This window comes from Homo sapiens, chromosome 15 (assembly GCF_000001405.40).
Source record: "Homo sapiens chromosome 15, GRCh38.p14 Primary Assembly".
Classification (NCBI taxonomy): Eukaryota; Metazoa; Chordata; class Mammalia; order Primates; family Hominidae; genus Homo; species Homo sapiens.
The window spans coordinates 73,930,332-73,952,360 of record NC_000015.10 but is presented as its reverse complement, the minus strand read 5'-3'; the positions used below and the strand labels follow the sequence as shown (position 1 = coordinate 73,952,360).

Below are 22,029 nucleotides of genomic sequence, written 5' to 3'. Positions count from 1 at the left end.
AGTCGGATGTGGTCCCATTCCCATGCGACAGGCTTGGCCAAGGGCTCAACCCCACAGGCTTCCACGATGGGCTCAGCGCCCTCATGGTCACTGTGGTCCTGACCGGGTGGTGGCTGCCCTTTCCACATTTGGCGAGGGGAAGGATGATGCCTAAGGACATCCCCCAGGCCCAAACTAGCTGTGGCTGGCCAGCCAGCCAGCAGGCCGCATGCAGAGCCACAGAGTAGAAAAACCTTGTTTTATTCAGCCCAGACCTGGGCAATCTAGCTCTGTGGTATGGCCAAAGTATAAAAAATAAAAACCAACAACAACAAAACAACACTGTAGAGAAAAGTGAAGTATAAAATGGGGTCTGGCGTCCGGAATCCCTGTGGTTTTCATCCACGTTCGCTCCCTGAGGCCGGCAGGGAGGGATGCCCCTCCGTGCCTGTGGGTTGGGGGCTGGGCCCCTCGGCGGGAGGCTGCCCGGGGAGCAGGGCCTGCTTTGGAAGGGGAGAGATTGGCCATCTGTCCCTCCCGGAGATCAGGATCTGAGGAAGGAAAGACAGTGGGTCAATGAGGGGCTGCAAAGTAGGCCCCCGTGGCCTCCTCAGCCAGGGCGTCCCTCCCACAGCCCAGATCCCTCGTGGCAGGGCAGGCATGGGCCTACATTTCCCTCAAGAGAAAGTTCCGACCCCCTCAGCCCAGCTCCAAAAGGAGGGGTTTGATGGACTCCCACCCACCCAGGGCACAGTCTCAGCACATTCCCCTCCCCATGCCCTAGTCCCAGATTGTTTTCTAGGCCATTAGCAGAGCTGCTACTGTCTGGAAATACTTTCTTGTTTTTTCTAACTCAGTACTTTTTTTTTTTTAAGCCTCCTTTTTCCTCCAGAAACACGATGGAAACCCACAGGCGTCAGTCCCGTGGCCTTTCTGGGAACGCTCTGTCCAGCTTCCTGTGCACGCTGGCCCAGCTGCCTGCCTGCGGTCAGGGTCACAGAGACTGAGACACTCTAATAAGGCCCGGCCTTTCCAAGCACTTATGTAAAGAGCTCTTGGAAGGAAGGGCTTTGGCTCCCCCTGCTGCCCACAGGCCCCCGGGGAGCTGGGAGGGCCGCGCAGGCTGCTTCTCCATCTGCCCTGCCGACAGCCCTCCTGGCTGCTCCAGGCGCCTGGCACGTGGGATGCTGTTTCTGTTCCCATCCCCCTTTCCCAGCAGCAGGAGGGATTCCCTGCCTCCCCGAGCCCCCAGCAGCCTCCTTTGTTTCCTGGATACCCCCTTCTTCCTTCCTCCTCCTTCCCTAGAATGGCTTCTACCACTTAGGTGACCCTGGGTCTTGAATGGCTAAGACAGGCCCTGAGGAGCAGGAATGTGCTGGAAACCCAGGCCTGCTAAAGAGCCAAACTGCCAGTGATGGGACAGGAGTTCGTCCTTTCAAACATGCTGTGTGCCCTGGGGAATTCTGATCTCATTCTACTCATGAGGAACCTAATCTCTGCACTGAACTGGAGGCTGCTGTTCCCATTTTTAATATTCATGATGTGGTGGCAGCATGCTGTGAACAGTTAGGTTGATGGTAGCAACCAAGTGTGAGAGGGCTGTCTCTAAATGAGCCTGGCTCTGGTCACAGACTGAGCCCTGACCCTGGCCACACACTAAGCCCTGATCCTGGTCACACACTGAGCCCTGATCCTGGTCACACACTGAGCCCTGAGCCTGGCTACACACTGGGCCCTGACTCTGGTCACAGACTGAGCCCTGACCCTGGTCACACACTGGGCCCTGACCCTAGGTATACACTGAACCCTGATCCTGGTCACACACTGAGCCTTGATCCTGGTCACACATTGAGTCCTAACCCTTGTCACACACTGAGCCCTAACCCTTGTCACAGACTGAATCCTGACCCTGGCCATACACCACACCCTGACCATAGTCATAGGCTTAATCTCTCATACCTGCCATCCATTAATAAGTACACACTTTTAGGGAAAGATACCTCTCTGGGCCTTAAGATCTCTACCACCTTTCTCCCAGTTGATGAACTAAAGCTGAAAGCTCTAGGACTAATTTTTTTTTTTTTTTTTAATGGAAAAGGGTTGCTTCGATCTGGAGTGTGGTGGGGTTTCCTTGTGAGCTTGTAAGCAAGGGGTCCCTCTGCAAACTACTTCACATGGGGAATCAGGAGAAAGACTGAGGACCCTACCCAGCAGCATGTGCCAAAATCCCAAGCCCAGATTTTAGGCACTTCTTCTACAATGGGGGCCTAGGGACTGAAGATGGCTCCTTTGAACCAGAATCACTTCTAATCTGTGACTGTTTAATCCAGTCCACTTGAAAAGGACACTAATGATCACAGCTGCTGTTCACTGTGTGCCACTGTGAACATGCAGACATCAGGCCTGTAGATCCTCATTGCCAGCCTATGTGGAAATACCTATTTTATAGTTGAGGAAAGTAGCTCAGGGAAGTAACCCAATGTCACATAGCGAGGAAGCTGTGGAACTGGGACTGCAGAGCTCATGGCCTTGCATCAAATGACTCTGCCTTCTGCTGGTTTTCACTTGGGACATCTCAGGGAGCCACAGGATGCAGCCCCAGATCAACACCCTACGGCCTGAGCCCCACCGTAAACACTCAGCTTGGGGTTGGCACGGACAAGGCTCTTTTTGATGGGCCCTGCTGCAGCTGCGTTCGGCCATCAAGGTGACCTAAAGTGCAGGTATCTTAGGTATCTCAGGTGGCCTTGCCTGCTCCCCAGGCAGGAAAGGGACGGAGCCAGGAAGGGTGGTGGGCAAACTCTTACTGGACAATTTTGCAGTTTGTTGCAGAAACGTAGCGACCTGTGTAGTGAATGTTGCATCTCACCACGTTGTTGGTGAAGTCAGACTCCAAAACAATATACTTTGGGTTCACGTGCACCTGAGGAAGAAGAGAAACAGGGAGAAAGGGAGTCTAGTCAGGGGGGCTGCACCTCAACTGCTCACCAGAGAAGGTGGTAAAGAGGCAGACAGACAGACAGAGAGGTGACAGAGAGAGGGAGAACAGAGACACACTGCTAGAGAGACACAGAGGGGAAAGAAGAGGCAGCTGGTAATCCAAGAAAACATCATCTAATCCCCCTTATCAGAAGATTGGATGTTTCCCTAGAGCTAGAGCCTATGCCAGGTGGGCCCCGCATGGGGCATTTGGGGTCAGAGAGGTTGGATCCTGCCCGAGGGAATGCAGTAATGAGGAGCTGAGCCAGGATTCAACACCTGGTCTCCCCAAATCCAAGGCTCAAAGTCATTCCCTATGCATCCCTGTCTAGGTGACTGATCGAGGGCCTGTCTGATCCCCTGCTCTGGAGCCCCACGTGCCCAACATTCACTGAGATGATGGCCCAAGTATGATCTGTGCTTTTTGTCTGAAAAGGAGCTGTTGGGATACAACACTTTTAAATGTTGGATTAACTAGGGTAGGGCCAGCTTTATTTGCAGAACATCTAAGAACAGATGCAGGGATGCAACTTTCAAATCCTGGTACACTCCCAAAGGGCAGGGACTGTGAACTGCATTGCTTATGTGGTTTGTGTGTCTAGTGCCTAGAACTCAGAGGGGACTTCCTACATGTTGATTGAGTGGATGAATGAGGAAAAGAAAAAATATACTGGACAACCCCAGGCCCTGGAGGAGCAAGCTTGGAGCCTGCTGAAGAGCACTCAGGAGGGAACTGCAGAGAACCGCTGCCGGATGCATCTCTCCACCTGCTGACTTTCTGCAGGGAAGGCCTCCGCCTGCAAACCTGGCTTCACTGCTCTGCCTTTACTGAGCTGCTTTTCTGCTTCTGAGTGGGTCCAGATGAACTGGTGGAATGATCCCTACTCATTTTATACCTGTGTGGAGGAGGCTGAGACATGGCTTCCCCAGGTGGGCCCATGACAACCTGGCCTACACGGATGTACCAAGTCTGGATGTGTGTTGTTAATATGCTTTTCTACTTTTCCCTCAACCAAGGGAAGAGGTGATGGAGTGAGTGTCCATTAGAGCAGGAGGGGTTCAGGCTAAAAGGGTCTTAGTCACAGGAGCCCTTGGCTTTGCAGGGGTCCCTATAAGGAGCTGAGGGCCTCTCATCTGTCTCCCAAATGATACAAAGTCTGCCCTGTCCGAAGACAGGAAGATAGACCACATGGCTCTCCAAGTCTTTCTTGCTCTCCCTGGTCCTCTGTCACTTAGGGAGACAGTATCACCACTGCCTCTGGCATTACCACAGCTGGGGCAAAGGTTCCCTGGGTTCTTTATGGAAAGAGAGGCTATGTCAGCCTGAGACCTAAATCTTCGGCTGGGAAGCCTAAACCTCAAGTGATGCCTCAGATGCTGCCTCTGCTCGGCAGCTGGGGAGAAGGGAACAGGCCCAGAGGCTGAAGCTTCTTTCAGGAACGGGGGGACATTGGACATGAACATCAGGTTGGAGGGAAAGCCCCAGACCCAGAGGCCCACCTTGAGGATGTAGTTCCCAGGCTGCACGTCGGTTATGTCGATCCACTGGCAGTCGATGTCCGCATTGTAGGTGTCATAGCAGCCTGGGCTCAGGCCCTGGGAAAGGGACAAGAGGAGCGGCTGTGATGCTGCTTGTTTCCCAGAGCCACCCCACGCCCACCTTCAGGAGTTTCTGGCCCACCTTCCCCTGGGTTTCTCCCCTGACCCTGGCCCAGGGCAACTGCTCAGGGTGGGTCCACACCTTCCTAAAGCCACTGGCTAGATGGACCAGAGGAAAGACAGATATCTAATAGCCAGGTGGGAGGGACGAGATGGATGGCAGAATGGATAAAAAGAGACAGGACAGATGGACAGTTTGTGGATATTTAGGGTGGCTGATGGAAAGAGGGATATGGGTGGGTGAACAGGCCAATAGGACGTGTTGCTCTCCAGACTGTTGCGATGTTTCCTTCTCTCCACGAGCAGATCACCTGGAATAACATGGGAAAGGGGCTGGGGCAGGGAGGGAACAGTCCCTGCAGGGCAGTGTGGCAGCCTGAGGACTGGTGAGAAGACCTTCACTGTGAGCAGAGCTGAGTGGCCAGAAGCCTTGGCACTTGCCGGGCCTCAGCGGGCCTCGCTCTTTGCCTCCCCAACTCCTTATCCTCCCATGCCCCAAACCCCATCTCTCCAGCCCAACCTGGGTATGAGAGGTGCATGCATAGCGCTTGAGGTTGCCGAAGTCACAGGTGCTGTCCTCCAGGCAGAAACTGGCCTTGTGGCCCTCGGCCACCTTCTTGCCTGTGGCTGCATCCAGTAGGTCGTAGTGGCTGAACTCGTCCATGCTGTGGTAATGCCTAGGGGCAGAGGAGAGAAGGAGAAAGAAGAGGGCCTAGTCTTCCCTGGGCCTCTCATCCTGTCCCCATCCTGAGATGGGCTCAGGTGACCCTGCTGTGGCACAGCCTCCTGGCTGGTCTAGGTTCTCCTGTCTCCTGAGTACTGCGGGGTGGCCCCTCTGTGCTCCCCACCTAGCTGGGTCACTCCAGGACAGCACATGCTCTAGACCCCTCACTTCCTTTTTGGGCTCCCACCTGTAATGGCCTCACTGGGCAATGCCCTGTATTCTAGACATTTCCATCCCTGATTGAGACCAATCCTTCTATATCCATCTTCCAGCCTAGCTTTGGCTAAGGCTTCTCTGAGAAACACTTGCCCCAGTGAAAAGAGTTGGCAGGTAACACCTCCCCGGGCCCTCTAATCCAGTATCTGTGTCTCCCAGAGTGCTCATGGTGGGAGGGGAGCTCAGGCACCAAGGTCCCTGGCCCAGAGGAGAAGTGGAAGAGGACGGGCCCAGCCCCTCCCCACTCACTGGTGGCAGCTGTGCCACTCCCAGGTGTGCCGTGGCCGGTTGGGGAGGAAGTCTGCTGTGCCCTGGTTCTTCACGCGCTGGGGGAAGCGCAGTAGCACCCGCACATCGTAGTCGGTGGCCTCAGGGGCATAGGCTGTGCTGCAGGGACGGCGGGGGAGATGAGGGGGGGTTGGGGCACAGTGACACCAGAACCCAGCATGGGCCCCCTCAGCCCCACCCCCAGCCCTTGGCCACTGGTTCTGCAGCCCCACTCCTTGTCCCTGAAGATCTTCTCCTCTGTCTCCTCGAACTGTGGCGGAGGCTCAGGCCTCTTCCTCTGTCTTCTGACCCCGTGAAATCCTGGCTGTCCCCTCCTTTCTGGCCTCCACCATGTGGCCGCCAGCTGCCAACAGCATCTTTCTAAAGCGGTACCAAGCATGGCAGTGTCCCTGATACCTGCAGGTGACTCAGCTGGGGTCAGCCCCTAGGTGCAGGAGCACATAGCAATCTCTGAAGGGCCACTGAAAAACAGCCCTATTGCGGGGGCCAGGCACTTTGGCTCATGCCTGTAATTACAGAGCTTTTTGGAGGTCGAGGCAGGAGGATCACTTGAGGCCCATAGTTTGAGACCAGCCTGGGCAACATAGTGAGAAATTAAAATTTAAAAAATTAATTTAATTAAAGAAATTTTTAAAAAATTAAAAAATTAGCCAGGTAAGGTGGCTTATGCCTGTAGTCCCAGCTACTTGGAGACTGATCCCTTGAGCCCAGGAATTTGAGGCTGCAATGAGCTATAATTGTGCTGCTGCACTCCAGTCTGGGCAACAGAGTGAGACCCCCTTTCTAAAAAAAAGAAAAAAAAAAGTCCTATCCAGGAGATTCTGATAAGTCTCTGACAACAAGACAGAGCCCTAATTGTTGACCAAAGTATGCCATGTCTTGGGTGTGGGCCTGAAAAACAGACGTGAAGTCCTCTGGTCAAAGCCTCTTCACTTTTCTAGTCCCATCTGCCCTTCCACTCCCCCACACACCCTGGGTTCCTGCTTCAAAGCCTATTTTCCAAACAGGCTGAACTTTTTCCCTGACCCATACTTTTGCCCATGCTGTTTGCTTGACCCAGAATTCCAAAACTCACCCAGTATCCTAGGGTCAACTCAAAAGTCCCCTCCTCCAGGAAGTCTGCCCTGATTGCTCTACATAGAGGATCCGGATTGCCTGTGAGCTCTAACAGCACTGACTGCAGCACAGCCCGATACCATCTACATCTTGCACTGGGTCCAGACCACCTCTCCCTGATTGCATGGCTTCAGGCTGGCAACCTGCCCTTTTCCATTCAGGGAACATGGGTCTGGTATGAATTGCCTGCTCGCAAGTCACCTGCTGACTCCAGATTTCCAACTGAGGTAGGCCTTGTGACAAAAGGAAAAGGGTGGAAAGAGGAACGAGGGGCTGCAGTGAGGGGAGACACACACACATGCACACATACACACACATGCACACACATGTGTGGTAGGAACAGGAAGGGGTGGCTGAAGGCCCCTCCCCTCTTTAGCTGACGGCTGACAGCTAACTCTGTTGGCCTCAGGGGCTCTTCCCTGGCACTCATTAAGGTCCGATCCTAAGGCCAGAGGGGAGCGGTGGCCAGTCGTAGGGATTAGCGCTCTCTTTGAGAGAATGTCTGGACAACAGGCGGCTCAGACTGTCTGCCAGGATGAAAGGCCCTCAGCCTTGTCTGGGGGAGGCTTGGAATCTGTCTATGTCTGGGTTGAAACAAAACATCCTCCTTCCCTCTGTTCAGTTAAATCCTGCCCTTCTGTTCGGCTCAGCACACCGTGGGAAACCATAAGGGTCTAGGTTCTAGGCCCAGCTTGGCCACAAACTGGTGGTGAGACTTGGAATTGGTCCCTTTTCTTCTCTGGGTTCTGCCTGCAGCATGTGAACTGGCACCAGCCTGCGGCCCATACTTGAAATGATCTCAGAGGGCCCTCCTGCCCCAGGGCTCCAGTTTTGCAGGATTCTCCAGGTCTGAACTCCCACGCCCACCTCCTCTGAGGCCTCAGCCCTTGCTGATCCCTCCCTCCTCTGACCTCCAGCAGCCCTGGCCTGTGAACCAGTCCTTCTGGCTCTTTTCCCACTCGTGTCTTGGTTCTGTCACTGGGGTACAGGTGAGGGCTGTTCTCTCCAGCTGTACCAGGAGACCCTCCAGGACAGAGGACAGGCTGCCTCCTCTCCCCAGCTGGGAGCGCAGGTCCGGGCACTCAGGATCCTTCATGAAGAGGCAGTGATGTTAATAGTTTGACTTTGACTAATTCTCTTAAGACTGGAAGGGCTGTCATGGAGGCTGTAAGTTCCTCATTGCTGGAGGAATTCCAGCAGGACCATTATGCTCTCTTCCCCAAGACAACTGAAACAAGACAAGAACTGCCCAGACAGGCTGGCTGAGTGGTACTCAGCCTGCGGTCCCTGGACCAGGGGCAGTTCCCACACTGATGCCAGTCTGGGATGGGATTGGGAACTTGCACCAGAATGTACATCGACAACATTCCTAATCACTCTGCTTAGTTCAGCGGATACTTTTTCTTTTTTTAAAGCAAGACTTTCTCAATGAAGGAGTGAGTTGAGTTACATTCTAGTTCAAGCTCTTTATCTTGTTACAGACAGATAAGGGTTTATGATCAGCTACTTAGAGTGGCAGTGAACTAGAAGTTCTAGAAATGAGAAAATGTTGAGATTCTAAAGAGTTTCCTAGATAGTAAAAAGTCAAACTAAACAGAGAGTTCAAATGTCCAAAAAGCAGGTAATTAAGAAAAATAGGTGCTTTCAACATAAAGGGATATTAACAAAAGAAGCAGATAACATAATCTTAACTAATTATTTTGGCCCAGGGAGGTATCCGCAAAGCACCTATGTTCCAGCAGAATATGAACTGCTTATAAATTAGAAGCAAACACTGCGAGAGGCAGGATCACCCATGAATAATGGCGAGCCAGCTGTGCTCACCTTCTAGGTTCATGGAAACTGGTCTCCTTCCCCTCTTTCCAGTGCAACATATAACTGAAACTTCTTTGTCCCCCGGGCTCACTGCCCCTGCTGTGACTAGGCAGAGGCAGCCTGGACCAGCCAAAGCCACAACTGTCCTCTGTGGACATGGCTCCATACTCCTGGGCTCTATCCTGCAGGTACATCCACCCAATAGGACTTCCTTGGGTCCCTGTATGACCACTGGAAGCCTGGGCTCCCAAAAGGAACCTTCTCATTAAACAGCTCAGATCCAAAAGGTTTGAGTTCCTTTCATTGCTCCTCAGTTTCCTGAGGGGGTAACCCATGCCTTCAGGGCTCATATAAAGATGAAGTGCCACAGTAAAAGTGGAGTTCCTTGTATAGTGAGGTACAGTATACAGAAATGCTGGGCCCCCGCTTGCTCCCCTCCCCTCCTGACTCCCTCGGGGCAGGCAAGGCTCACTGATGAAACGGTCAGGGTCCTGGGAGGCTGGGGCACTTGGCCAGGGTCATCAGCTTGCAGACAGCCTAGCTGGCAGCCACAGCTAGGCTGGGTTCTGGGTGACTCCCGGGGACTATCCCAACACTCTACACTTCTGCCTCAGCTCCTTACCTGGCCAGACACTTCTCCTCCGCAGCACAGCGCAGGGAGTACAGGTGGGCTCTCTGCACATAAGTGGATGCTTGCACATAGTTGGGGTCTGGGACCAAGTCAGGGAGACCTGGAGTGGGCAGTGGGAGAGAAGGGGGGAGGGAGGAAGAGCATGACATTGAGAGCATCAGGTTGGCCACTGCTAATGCCCAGAGACCTCCTCACACCCCAAACATCCTCTCATACCCCAAAACCCTTTGCCATTCTCCTTGGGTGTTAGGTCCTGGGCCCAGGTGTGGGGTCAGGGAAGTCAGGCAGCAAGAGCTTACATCTCGAGCTCTGCGGTGTGGGAGCTGCTAAGACTTCCTGGAAAAGCTTGGACATGAACAAGATCTGGGAGATGGGGCAGGATTTAGAGAATCAGAGAGCGGGAAAGGGTGTCCACGGCAGGGAAAACAGCATGAACAAAGACCTGGAGGCAGGAATGAGTGAACCATGTAATTTCCTGACAGAGGCACTCCCTCGAGTCCTTACTCCCCAGGCCTCTGGACAGCAGCCCCCAGACACCCTCCGTTCCTCTCATCCCTGCAGTCAGCATTCTTTGTAAACCACCAAGAGAGCCCTGGGCTTCTGGCCTGGAGTGTGTCCCTGAAGGTTCATGGGCAGAGCCAGGTGGATGCAGGCTGGCAGGAGTCAGGGTGGGCAGGAAGGGATGGGCTAGAAGGAAAACACTTCCCCAGAGCAGGCTGCTGACAGGGCAGGATTCTCAGCCTGGGCACCCAGCCTGACCTTCTCAGGATTCCTTTCTGCCTGGTGCAGCCACTCCTCCCCATACCCCCGCCCCCCATCACCTGCCACCACTTCCTGCCATCATCACCCTAGACCTGACCACACCCTCCTCTGTCTGCAACCTCCGGCCACCAACCTGAGGGAGGCCCTGGCTCTCTCCCCTGCAAGGCCTGGGGTCAAGCGCCCAGGGGAAGTCTGGAGACTGCCCCCGTCCTTGTGGTCCCTTGTTCCCCAGGATGTGCCAGAGCCCGGGGCCTGTCCGTCCTGTTCCTGCCCCTCCACCTTCCTCCCTGGGCATGCAGGAGTCTGAGCAGGAGTTACTAGGAATAAGCAGAAACCAAACTTAGGTGTCCAGACTCCATTCTGCATTGGAATGAAGAGGGAATATCTCCTCTGTTCGTGATGGGGTGTGGGCTGGGGTGGGTGCGGGCAGCAGTGGGTGTGGGCAGGGGGGACTCCAGGGCCCTGGGCTCTATCCCAGCCCAGCCACTGACTTAAAGGGGAGTGGTTCTGGGGCCTCTAATTCCGTCTCCTCTCTGGCCTCAGGGATTCTGTCAGGTAAGTGATAAGATGAGGCTGTAAGCTCCTCTTAGTTTCTTTGAAGTCCTCTGCTCTTGAGGGATTCAGGAAGGGTGAGAGCAGGCAAGGTGGGAGGACTTGAGTCCCATGGAGGGATTTCCCACCCCTTTCCTGCTGCCAAGACCCTCTCATCAGCTTTTAGGTCTGGAAGATGAGGCCAAGGAGGGGAAGGCTGGCTTCTAAGCCATCGGCAGAAGTGTCTGCCAGCATATCCCCCACCCCACACCACCCTGAGTTCCCAGACCCTAGCTTTGCTCTCCCTGGGGCCTGGGCCTCATGGGGGAGCCTGGTCCAGGCAGCCAGGGTGATCTCACCTACTTGGAATGATGAGGAAGCTTGGAGTACAAGGGTGGGTGAGGATGAGGTGGCTCCTGGCTGGTGGGGGACTTCTTGGCCAGCCTAGGCCCTGTTACTTGAGCCCCTAGGAATGTTTGCAGTCATTTCCCAAGGGACCCATAGGCCCTCAAGCCAGCTGGGAGCTGGTTCTCACTCTCTGGACCCTGGAAGCCTCTGGGGGAGGGGTGAGGATGAGAGGGATGGGCCCCTTCCCCATCACCCAGTGCCTTTCCCTCAGCTGCGTATAGGGTGGGGTAGCTGGGCCTTAAGACTCAGGAGACCCAGCATTTGACATCAGACAGCTTGCTGCCCCCACCCCAGGCCCAGTTTCAAGAAATACTGCACAGATGGCTCCACAAAGCTTTTGTGGCCTGACCCTTCCTATCTAGGCTATTTCATGAGCTGGCTATGCAACCCAGGGAAGTTGGAGGAGCGGGAGGAAGAGGCCAGGTGGGGCCAGTGAGGGCCAATGCTGTTCCTGGCCTCTCCCAGCCCTGACTATGTACACACACTGAGCCCTGTGCCTGATCACAGTCTGCACCCTGACCTTGGTCACAGACTGACCTCTGACCCTGGTCACATTAAGCGCTGACCTTGGTCACATACTGAACCCTGGCCCTGGGCACACCCTGAGCCTTGACCCTGATCACACACCAAGCCCTGTTCCTGATCCCAGTCTGAGTCCCGATGCTGGTCACACACCGAGCCCTGATCCTGGTCACAGACGGAGGTCTGATGCCTATCAGCAATTCTGAATCTCAGTCTCATTTCTGTTTGTCCCCTGATGATGGACTAAAGCTCTTCAGCTAAAGGAAAAAAAAAAAAACAGGAATTGCTGTGATATCATCAAGTCTGATTAAAACTGAGTGGAGTAGGGTTATAAGTGCCAGAGTTATGGAGGAGGGGCATTTGTAGAGTACTGCATGTGGAGAATTGGAAGAGAGACTAAGGACAAACAGCTTGGGGCTGCTGGTCACAATCTGAGCCTTGACCCTCGCTACAGATGATCATCTTCTTCCTCTTACTGTTGAGGAATCTCAGGCTCAGGCAGGGGCCTCTTGTTGCGGGAAGTCTCCCCTGATTGCAATGATATCTCAGACTGCACAAAATTCTCCTCTCTCACCACCCCATCTGTATTGATCTACACTTAGATTTCACCATACTAACCTGTGTGTGTCTCCTCCGCTCCAGATGGCATTCTATGGGCAGGCCCTGAGTCCTACTCGCCCTCAGTGGAGCAACTTTTGTTTTGAGGGTGACTGACTGGTCCAAAGCCCCTCAGGCTCTGTCAGGAGAGCCTCTTTAATGACTGTTCTAGGCAACCCAAAGTGTTTTCCATGTCCTGCCCCCAAGACACCAAGGCACATAATGTCTTTGGAAGCACCGGAGGAAACTGAGGCTCAGGCCCATAAATCTGCACAGGGTCACACAGGGAGCTGGGGTACCCCAGGAGGAGATCCTAGGTCTCCTTGCCCTCCCAGGACTCCTCCTGTCACTCTTTTTATAAAAATAAACTTTTTGAGCTGTACTCTATACACAGTGAAATGCACAGATTTTAGGTGTACAGTTTGATAAGTTCTAACAAATGTATAAAGCCGTGTGGCTTCCACCACAATCAAGCTGTGGATTGTTTCTGTCACCCTCTGGCCCCTTCCCTGTAAGTCCTCTCCCCGCCTCCGCCACCCCAGGCAGCCACTGCTCTGCTTCTAATCACTGTAGATTAGTTATGCCTTTTCTAGAACTTAAATGGAATCACTCTTACCATTATTTTGTAAGTTTCTTTGTTCTACATCTCTAACAATCACCAGGGCCTCCTGTGACTCCCTCTCTGAGCTCCACCTCTGTCACACCCTCATGGCCATGGGGGTGACACAAGAGGCAGCAGCTCGGGGAAGCTGCTGGAAAGGAGCAGCCTCAGGAGTTCAGGCCAGGCCCCCCCGCCTCACCCTCAGGATCCTTGCCGAGGTCCCAGGGAATAGCAGACCCCCTCCCATAGCTGGTATGTTTTTCCAGGAAGGAACAATGGCTCCTTCTCTGGGCAGCTCTCCCAGGGGACATTTCGTCAGCAGCCAGGCCTGCAGGCTTGGGCTCTTGGCCCCTCTGCAGGGCTTGGGGCTGGGGGATTATGTGATGTTGGAAGGGGATAAAGAAGGGTTGATTGAGTTGGGGGCTAGTGGACACGATCAGTGTAGGAGTAAGGAGGCTGGTCTGCAATTTTTGGCTTGTAGGGTACAACAGGCCCTCCAAGCAGAGTGGCCAATGTTGGGTGAAGTCCAGTTATTATCAGACTGTGTGATCAGCCCTCACCTCAAAAAGTATGCATTTTAAAGGAAGATCCTGGACCTGGTGAAGGTACATATCCAGCTCCCCACGCCACCTCCACCTTTTCTTTTTTCTTTGAGACAGGGTCTTGCTCTGTTGTCCAGGCAGGAATGCAGTGGCGTGAACATGGCTAACTGCAGCCTTGATCTCCTGGGCTCAAGTGATCCTCCTGCCTCAGCCTCCCAAAGTCCTGGGATTGCAGGCGTGAACCACCGCACCCAGTCAAATGAGGTCTTTTTGCTTACTCCAAATACAGGGGAAACCATCAGCCCAGGCTGGAGGGCAGTGGTGCGATCTTGGCTCACTGCAACATCCGCTTCCCGGGTTCAAGTGATCCTTCCATCTCAGCTTCCCAAGTAGCTAGGACCACAGGCGCATGCCACCATGCCTGGCTAATTTTTGTATTTTCAGTAGAGACAGGGTTTCACCATGTTGGCCAGGCTGGTCTCGAACTCCTGACCTCAGGTGATCTGCCCACCTTAGCCTCCCAAAGTGCTGAGGTTATGGGGTGAGCCACCGAGCCCAGTCCATGTAAACTTTTAAGGTCTATCTAGTTCACTGCCTGTCACTGCTACATAGGATTCCACGATGTGCATCCTCTATGTCCCTTCTAGCTGGCCTCCTGTTCTATCTATCTACCTAGATAGATAGATAGATAGATAGATAGATAGATAGATAGATACGGAGTCTAGCTCTGTTGCCCAGGCTGGACTGCAATGGCGCCATCTTAGCTCACTGCAACCTCCACCTCCCGGGTTCAAGCAATTCTCCTGCCTCAGCCTCCTGAGCAGCTGGGATTACAGGTGTGTGCTCTGGCTAAATTTTGTATTTTTAGTAGAGATGGGGTTTCACCATGTTGGCCAGCCTGGTCTCGAACTCCTGACCTCAAGTGTTCCACCCGCCTTGGCCTCTCAAAGTGCTGGGATTACAGGGGTGAGTGACCGCACCCGGCCAGCCTCCTGTTTTAGACCTCCAGGTCACCTCTAACTCCCCGCTCCACAAACACGCTACAGTGAACGGCCGTACGTGCCCCTCCTGGGCCTGATGAAGGTACGCAGCCAGCTCCCTGGGTCACCTACAGCCCTGCTCAGTCTTCTCCCAAGCCCCCAGCACCACTGGTGGGGGTAGGCTGGGGCGGGTCTCACCACCCAAAGACTGGGTGGATGGGCTTGCTCAGACTACCCAGGAAAACCCTGGCCACCATCAATTTCTTGCTCCCAGGAGGGAGACAGGAGCCTGGGGTCTTGCCCTACTGTGTCATAGGCCTTCTGTGTGGCCTTGGGTTGACCCAGCCCCACTTCAGGCTTCATGGCCTCCATTCTTCCACTTCTAATTGTCCTCCACCTGACTCGGGGCCTGAGGCCCTGTGCCGGCCTCTGTGGGCATTCTTCCTCAGATGCAGGCTGCACAGAGCCTGGGCCAGGATGGCAGGGATGCTGAGTCACGGGGCAGCGAAGACCCTTGAGATGGCCAAAGCCAGGATGCTCGGCTGGGGAGGAGCTGCGTGCGAGGGAATACGGTCCCAGGGCCATTCATTCCACAGGGAGACAGCCAGCCACTGATGTGGGGTAAGCCTTTTAGCTATAGCATGCCCTTCAAACCTCCAGGACAGTGAAGACACGGAGCCGAGAAGACAGAACCAATGTTCTATATCCTGGCTCTGCCCCTGGAGCTTCCTCTGTGGGAGTGTGCAGGAGCACAGTAGGAGGAACCTGTCACACTGACTCTTGGGGCCTGTGTGCTCGGGACAAGCCCACCCTGTCCTCCTGCTCAATGCTGGGTCTGGAGTTGCTGACGGCTCCCGTGCCCGCCCTCGGGAACCGGAGGACAAAGACCATCTGCCCCTTCCCTGGTGGGATGCAGCTGGGGCCTTCTCAGGGGGGAAGCTCCAGAGGTGAGTTCACTGTCTTGTCCAGTCTCCCCAGTCCCCTTTCTGAGGCTCACTTTCCCCATCTGGATGATGAGGGAGACTGAACTAGCTGGCCCCTGAACACAGGTTGGATAGATCGATAAACACTTGGAGATTAAAATACTTTTTAGGAGCTGTTCAGTTCATTCCCCAGCCTTGGGCAAGAGCCCGAGCCCTCTCACAACCCCTACAGACGATACTTTAGCAGTCAGGAAATTCTCCCACCTTCTGACCTAAATCCTTCCTGCTTCATTAGAAATCTGTTCCCTCCTGCCCAGCGGTTCCTGGAGGGAGGCTGCCTGGCGCTGAGAGCCCTGTGGCTGCCTTCCCATTGCTCGTCCACACCTCACCTGTTTCCCTCTTGGCTTCCTCTTTTTTGTGGGTTCAGTAAACCTTGTCTCTGGAATCTTTCCTCTCCAAGCCTCCTCCTCATGAGGGGCAAATGATGGAAAGTGGAATGCAAAAGAGCCCTAATCTCTTGAGCCCAGGGCTGGAGGATAAACAAAGTCCAGGAGGAACTGGTCAGTTGCTTGTGAAATATGTGCTGAGCGGGATGTTTTGGCTAGCGCAGCCAGACTCCAGAGGAGCCCCTAGGTGGCAGAGAAGCAGAAAGCTCTGCAGAGCAGGGCCTTGAATAAAGATGAGCCAGAGAGGCCTCCACGGCGGGAGCTGGCTGCCCGATTCCCTAGGAAATGATTATCTCATAATCAGGAAATTAACTTGTCAGCACTGGCCTGGCAGTGCCACACCTGCTTGGTGAGCAGGCAGGCAAGGTGGCTGCAGATTCCACTTTGCCCCATAATGAAGATGTAACCCAGCTCAAGCCTGAGAGCTAGGACAGCCATCAAGCCAGGCCCAGGGTCTTCAATGGCTCCCCATTGCCCACAGAATCAAGCCTAGAAGTCTCAGAGTGGCAGCTAAAGCCGTCTGTGGTTTGACCTTACCTAGCCTTCCAGAACTCTTAATCCTAAGGATCAGTAGGCAGGTCTCTGGCAGCATACCCCAACCTTTTTTACCCCCTGACTCCATGGTGCCCTTGTCCTGGAATTCCCAGCTATGCATGTGCATGCGCGTACACACACACACACACACACACACACACACACACACACACCAGCTCTACCTATGCAGAGGCACACAGTCTTTAGCTCCAAAGCCCACCCTGTCAGTCCTGAACACCCCTCCACCACCACCCTGCACCCTTTTACAGCACTCACCTGTCCACCCCACCAATGGGGAGAGACAGCAGCAGAAGGGCTTGACTCACAGAAGGGATTTGTAAGTGTGTGCTTGATTGCGCCAGCTGCCCAGGAGGCAGGCTGGGCTGAGGGGGAGGCAGACAATGCTAACCAATGCGGAGGTCAGCTCCCTGCTCAGAGGCCAAGCCTCTGCTGCCTCTCTGCACACCTAATGCACATTTCCTCCCAGCGTGAACCCAACCCCTGCCCCTGAGCCCTCCCCGCCCTTGCAGGCCCTGCCTGGTGCCCCCTACCCCACCTCTAGAAGCTTCCCTTGATGCTTCAGTTACTCCAGGGGTTCCCTCCTTGCCCTCTCAGGCCCTGCACAGTGACCTGAAATTTTCATATTTCTTACAAAACTTACGCTGCCCACAGCCTTCCCATCTCAGCTCAAGGCAATTGCATCCTTCCAGCCACACCAGCCATAAACCACTGTGTGATCCCTGACACCTCTCTTTCTTTCATACCCCATATCCAACCCAGCAGGAAATCCCCTCAGCTCTATCTCAAGAACATACCCTAAAGCTGGCTTCCTCCATTGCTACCACTCTTCCTACTCTCTGGAACAGCCTCCTGTCGGTTCCCCTGGCTGACTCTCCACTGTCCACTCCTGGCACAGCAGTCAGGGGCCCTGTTTAGCAGTCAGGGACCCATGCTTCTACTCAGCTCAAACGCTGAGTAAAAGGGATGCACAGAAAATAAAAGGCAAACCCCTTACAATGGCCGACAAGCTCCCCATGGCCCGGACCCCATTACCTCTCTGACCTGTCCCCTGTTATACCTCCATTTCCACTCTACTCTGTTCTAACCACACTGGAGCACACCTGAAAACCCCAGGGAACTCCTGCCTCAGGGCCTTGCACTGGCTGTCTTCCTATCTGGAATGCTCTTCCTGCAGACAGCTGCATGGCTCACTCATATGCCTCAAGTCTTTGCTCAAGTGTCACCTTCATGAGGCCTGACCACCTTTGCAACCTGTCCCTCTCCTACACTCCCGATCTTCCTTACCTATCTCTATTTTTCCACAGCACTTAGTACCTTCTATTTTTTTTACATATTTATTATGTTTATACATGAAAATAGAAGATCCACAAGGGCAAGAATTTTGTCTCTTTCTTTTCACGAATGAATACCCAGCTCTAGAACGGTGCCCAGCATACAGTAAGTCGCTCAATAAATATTTGTTAAATGACTATTTCCTCATGAGATGATATCTGCCCTATTTCCTCACGAGATGATATCTGCCTTCTGCAGCCAGGCAAGAGCCCATGAGGGCAGGGGTGAGTGGTATTATCTTTTGCCTGTACTCAGCTTCTGGTGCACGTCTCCCAGGTGCACAGTGGGTGCTGAGAGCTGGCAAAGACAGACATGGACTTGGGCCACTCTCCACCCCAGGTGTCTGTTTTCTCACTGCCAGGCTGAGACGTCAGTGAGGCCAGGGAGGGTTCTGGGATGCCCCTGAAATTCTCCACGCCCAGCTCAGGGCCTAGCACCTGTATGTCCTTGGCAAGTGCGTGAGCCAATGCCCATACTCCATAAAACGTCTGGTGGCACTGCCTGTGTGAGCACAGACTTCATTGTCAAGCAGGGTCTGGAATCGATTCCCAGAGTCCTTTCTTTTGCAGAAAGATTTGCGTTGGGTTTGGAAAACCTGTGGTTCCAGCTGGCCCACAAGCAGGGGGAAGGATGGGTTGTCTCTTGAGGTTTGGATGGCAAAGGCCTCTGGGGCCTCGCTTTCCCATCCTGTGTCTCTTCCTGCTTTGGCATTCTGACACCCCTCTCCCCATTTCCAAGTGGTACTGCAATGCCTGGTTTCTGGGTGCCCATCAGCAAGAGGGAGAGGGACCCAGACCCAACCCTCACCCTGTGATCATGAGTCCCGACAAAAAGAAGGCCCTTGGTCCAGCTGCCTGTGGAAATGAGGCGGCTAGGTCAGGGCCAGGGGAGGGGCAAGTCTAAACCTCTCTTTCCAGCATCCCAACCCTGACTGCTCTTCTGCAGGAATGCTGGGCACAGCAATTGGAAGGAGGTGTGGGCCGCCTGGGCGGACCCCAGCTCCCTCCCTGCCCCTTTCCTCTCCTGCCCATGTCAGCCACTGTCCTGGGAAGTCTTCCATGTGTTCCCAGCTTAGAAAGGAGGTAGAATGGACTCAGGAGCTACTAGGGAGCTACTGGAGAGGGGTACACCTTCTGAGAGCAGAGGATGCTGCAGTGAGGACCCCTGAGGTTAGGAGGAAGGAGAGAGGACAAAAAGCCAGAGCTCCCAGGCCAAGTCTAGCAGTAACCTGGTGCCCATAATGGTACTAATGGCTCCCAACCCTGCTCTGCCACCATCCCCAGCAACTCTGTGGGGCCCGCAAACTTGAGGCAAAAACCCAAATTTGGTTTTTTTCAGGTGTTTACACCTCAGGGGAACAGTGAACACAGAGACAGGTGACACAGAATATAAAACACCCGTCCCTAAGAGACGGAACAGAGTGAGGCCAGGGCCCACTGGATTGGACAGTCAGCCTAGGTCTAAGCTTGGCCACTCATTAACCCTGAGACCTTGGGTGAGTTGGTTAATTTCTCCGAGCCTCAGTTTCCTCATCTATAAAATAGAGCTGATAATACTATTTATCTCACAAGGCTGTTGTGGGAATTAAATGAGAAAAATAAAATGCTTAGCATAGTGTATGTTCAATAAATATCAGATATTCTTATTCTTATTATTGAAAACAGGAGCTGTCTCTTCTTGCAGGGATGGTCCAGTTTGAGAGCAGGGGAGAGAGAAGGTGCCTTGCAAGTGGCTGATAAGAGAGGAGACAGGAAGTCTGCCTGGAATGAGGCTGCTTAGGACTCCACTTGTTTGTTCAGACACTGATGACTCTCAAAGGAGAAACAGGGAGGCAGGAGGAGGGCCCAGAACCCTCCGTTTCCACAGCTTGTCTGATCCGACACAGCTTTCTAAGCCTGAAGACTCTTTTTCTTTCTGAAGGAACAATCTGAGACAACTTCGGGGAAGGAAGGAGGGATGCTGATCTGTGATTCTGCCTCCAGGGCAAGTCGCTTAACTTCTCAGGGCCACAGTTTCCTCATCTGCAAAATGGGGATAACAATCCCAGGGTTGTCACAGGGATTAAGTGATTCTAACTGCAAAACTCCAAGAACAGTGTCCGGCACTTAGTATGCACCATATGAGTGTTTGTTACACAAACGTTCTGGAATCTGCAATGACCATGACCAGGCTACACCCTAACCCCACACTGGGGAGAGACTCTGCTTCCAAAGTCTTTCACACTCACTGTCCCATCTCACCCTGTCACAACCAGTGCCCAGAATCTAGCACTCAAATATCTGTTGAATGAATGAATGACCAAATGAATGAGTGAATAAATGAGGTGTACAAGATAAGCAATAATATATAAATTTTTTTTTTAAATGCATGGTTGTTAAGAACTCAGGATAGAGAGTCACACAGACTCAAATCCTGGTTCCACTACTAAAAGTCAGCAAGTGAGCTCGTCACCACATCTGTAACACGGGACAAATAACAGTACCTGGCTAGGACCTGGGAATTAAAGGAGATGATGTATAACGCACTCAGCAAATGCAAGCATAATTCTTCCTCTGGATGCAGATGTGGGAGGTGAGGACCACAGAGGCAAAGCTGGCAGAGGGGTCCATGCTCATGCCCTGCCCCACCCTGCCCGCAGGCTGAACATGATATCCTCCTGGGTCATCTCACTGTGATGCAGAGAGCACAGGTTCAGTTTGAATTCAAGCTCGGCTGTACCCTTCTGTGCCACCTCCCTAGGCCTGTTTTCTCATCTACACCAGGAGGACCATAATCTGCACCTCATTAGGAGGTTGTGAGGATGAATGAAACTGCACATTGAAGTCAGTAAGCCCAGGAAGTGGTCTTCAGCAAATGGCCAAGTTGGTATTATTATCCCTGCCTCTGGGCTCTAACTCTGGAAGCTTGTTGGGTGAAGCCTGCTTTGGTCCTTCCCTGCATCTACTCCAAACTCTGCAGGGGAAGGCGAGTGACCTGGAGGGCAGAGGTGGGCAGGCAGCCTGTGGAGGTGGGGTGGAGCAGGCCCAGGTGAGCTAGGGGCTCAGGCAGGAGAGGTGGTAGCAGGCAGCCAGGGCTGCTCTCAGGGACTGAGGGTCCAGACAGGTCTGGCCTCTTGGGTGCAGGAGGCTGGACAGAGAAGGAGGTACCCTAGAAACACCCTTGCATGTGTCTAGGGAGGTGTAACATCTAGGCCCACGAGCAGCATGGTCCCATGGGGGCTGTGGAGGCTTGAGAAAAGGAGGAAGAAAGGACAGGAAGGAGGTGCCTCTAACTCTGGAGTGCTGGGCTGAGACACTAGATTTTGTCCTAAAGGCCCTGAGGAGCTACAGAATCTTCTTGAGCAGAGGAGTAACCTGGTCAGACTGCAGGGGTTTATCTGCCCCACATGCAGGACAGACTGAAGAGGGAGAGACTGGGAGCAAGGGACCAGGGAGGAGGCAGCTGCGGTTCTCTCCTGGCCTCTGATTGGCCATGTGAAGTCAGGGATAGAGGACACACGTCAGGCAAGGCTAGCACAGCCATCCAAGATGCCCTGGGAGGATGCCCAGGGCTGCCTGTTCCATGTTCCTTTCACAGGATTGCCAGAGCCGGTGAGTCAGGCGGGGGGTGCGAGGGTAAGGCCTTGGGAGGGGAGCTTTGGTCTTCTGGGGCTGTGGGGCTTCTTAGGTGGCACTAAGACCCCCAGCTCAGACAAGCTGAAACTCCAGGGAGGCAGGAGCTGAGGCGAGGATCCCAGGAGAGGAGGGCCTGGTTGGTAATAGCAGGAGTGGTCACATCGAGGGAGCCGACACAGTGCAGGAGACCCAGCTGGGCCTGGGAAGTGGCTGGCCACCCTCCAGGCCTCTCTTCAAGGATTTGCTATGAGAGCCAGGCAAAGTATGTGACCCTCTCTGGGCCTCTGTTTCCTCTAGTTTCTTTTCAGTTTCATGTTTCAGAGTTGGAGAGAATGGTACTGCAGGAAGCCTTGGGCAGTCTCAGTGCCCAGGGTAGGAAGGAAGAGGGCACAGGTACCCGAGGAAGAAACTGGGCTCAGGACAGGCGCTTGGAAACCACCCACCCATGGAGGGAGGTGGGTGGTGCTCACATGTGCTTGGTGTTGTGAGGACACGTCCACGCCCACACACACTCACAGGCTGCCAGCGCCCAGCCTCAGACCCCTGGGTGTGTGGCCAGGAGGAATGAAGTCAGTCTCGGAGAATCCGCCTTGGGCTCCCACACCAGGCCTGGGGGTCTGATCTCAAGCACAAGGCTTGGCCTTCCCTGGGCTGGGATTTTCCACGGTCTGGCCTAGCAGGGTGGGGAGGGAGGAACCAATGATGGGAGAGACTACTGCTCCCTCTCTGGCCTCTTTGTGAGCCCTAAACTAGCCTGCAATCCCCTCCCCAGCAAAAAACACACTCCCACCCCACACCCTCAATGATTA

At 53.8% G+C, this 22,029-nt stretch overlaps 1 protein-coding gene across 4 annotated transcripts in view, besides 3 other annotated features; it reads right to left on the bottom strand.

Moving 5' to 3' along the window:
- LOXL1 (lysyl oxidase like 1) overlaps positions 225–22,029 on the bottom strand; it is a 25,675-nt gene continuing 3,870 nt past the window's right edge. Inside the window, exons 1-7 of one of the 4 annotated variants that reach the window (XM_017022179.2) lie at positions 9,707–10,147; positions 9,399–9,507; positions 5,807–5,944; positions 5,138–5,294; positions 4,459–4,554; positions 2,787–2,902; positions 225–530 (exon numbers count right to left, since the gene is read on the bottom strand). In XM_017022179.2, coding sequence (XP_016877668.1) covers positions 524–530; positions 2,787–2,902; positions 4,459–4,554; positions 5,138–5,294; positions 5,807–5,944; positions 9,399–9,507; positions 9,707–9,761 — 678 coding nt within the window. In that variant the 5' untranslated portion in view covers positions 9,762–10,147 and the 3' untranslated portion in view covers positions 225–523. Of the gene's footprint in view, positions 531–2,786; positions 2,903–4,458; positions 4,555–5,137; positions 5,295–5,806; positions 5,945–9,398; positions 9,508–9,706; positions 10,148–10,302; positions 10,487–22,029 lie in introns of those variants that run through there. The other 3 variants (NM_005576.4, XM_047432498.1, XM_011521555.3) reach the window with 3 other exon arrangements.
- Positions 10,925–11,820: an enhancer, noted in NCBI's record as "H3K27ac-H3K4me1 hESC enhancer chr15:74232882-74233777 (GRCh37/hg19 assembly coordinates)". NCBI's record gives its function as "activates a minimal SCP1, AML or CMV promoter by ChIP-STARR-seq in primed H9 embryonic stem cells {active_cell/tissue: H9 hESC(primed)}" and the evidence as "EXISTENCE:reporter gene assay evidence [ECO:0000049][PMID:30033119]".
- Positions 14,247–14,846: an enhancer, noted in NCBI's record as "H3K27ac-H3K4me1 hESC enhancer chr15:74229856-74230455 (GRCh37/hg19 assembly coordinates)". NCBI's record gives its function as "activates a minimal SCP1, AML or CMV promoter by ChIP-STARR-seq in naive H9 embryonic stem cells {active_cell/tissue: H9 hESC(naive)}" and the evidence as "EXISTENCE:reporter gene assay evidence [ECO:0000049][PMID:30033119]".
- Positions 19,239–19,533: an enhancer, noted in NCBI's record as "tiled region #13651; K562 Activating DNase matched - State 20:ReprD". NCBI's record gives its function as "activates a minimal TATA promoter and a strong SV40 promoter by Sharpr-MPRA in K562 cells {active_cell/tissue: K562}" and the evidence as "EXISTENCE:reporter gene assay evidence [ECO:0000049][PMID:27701403]".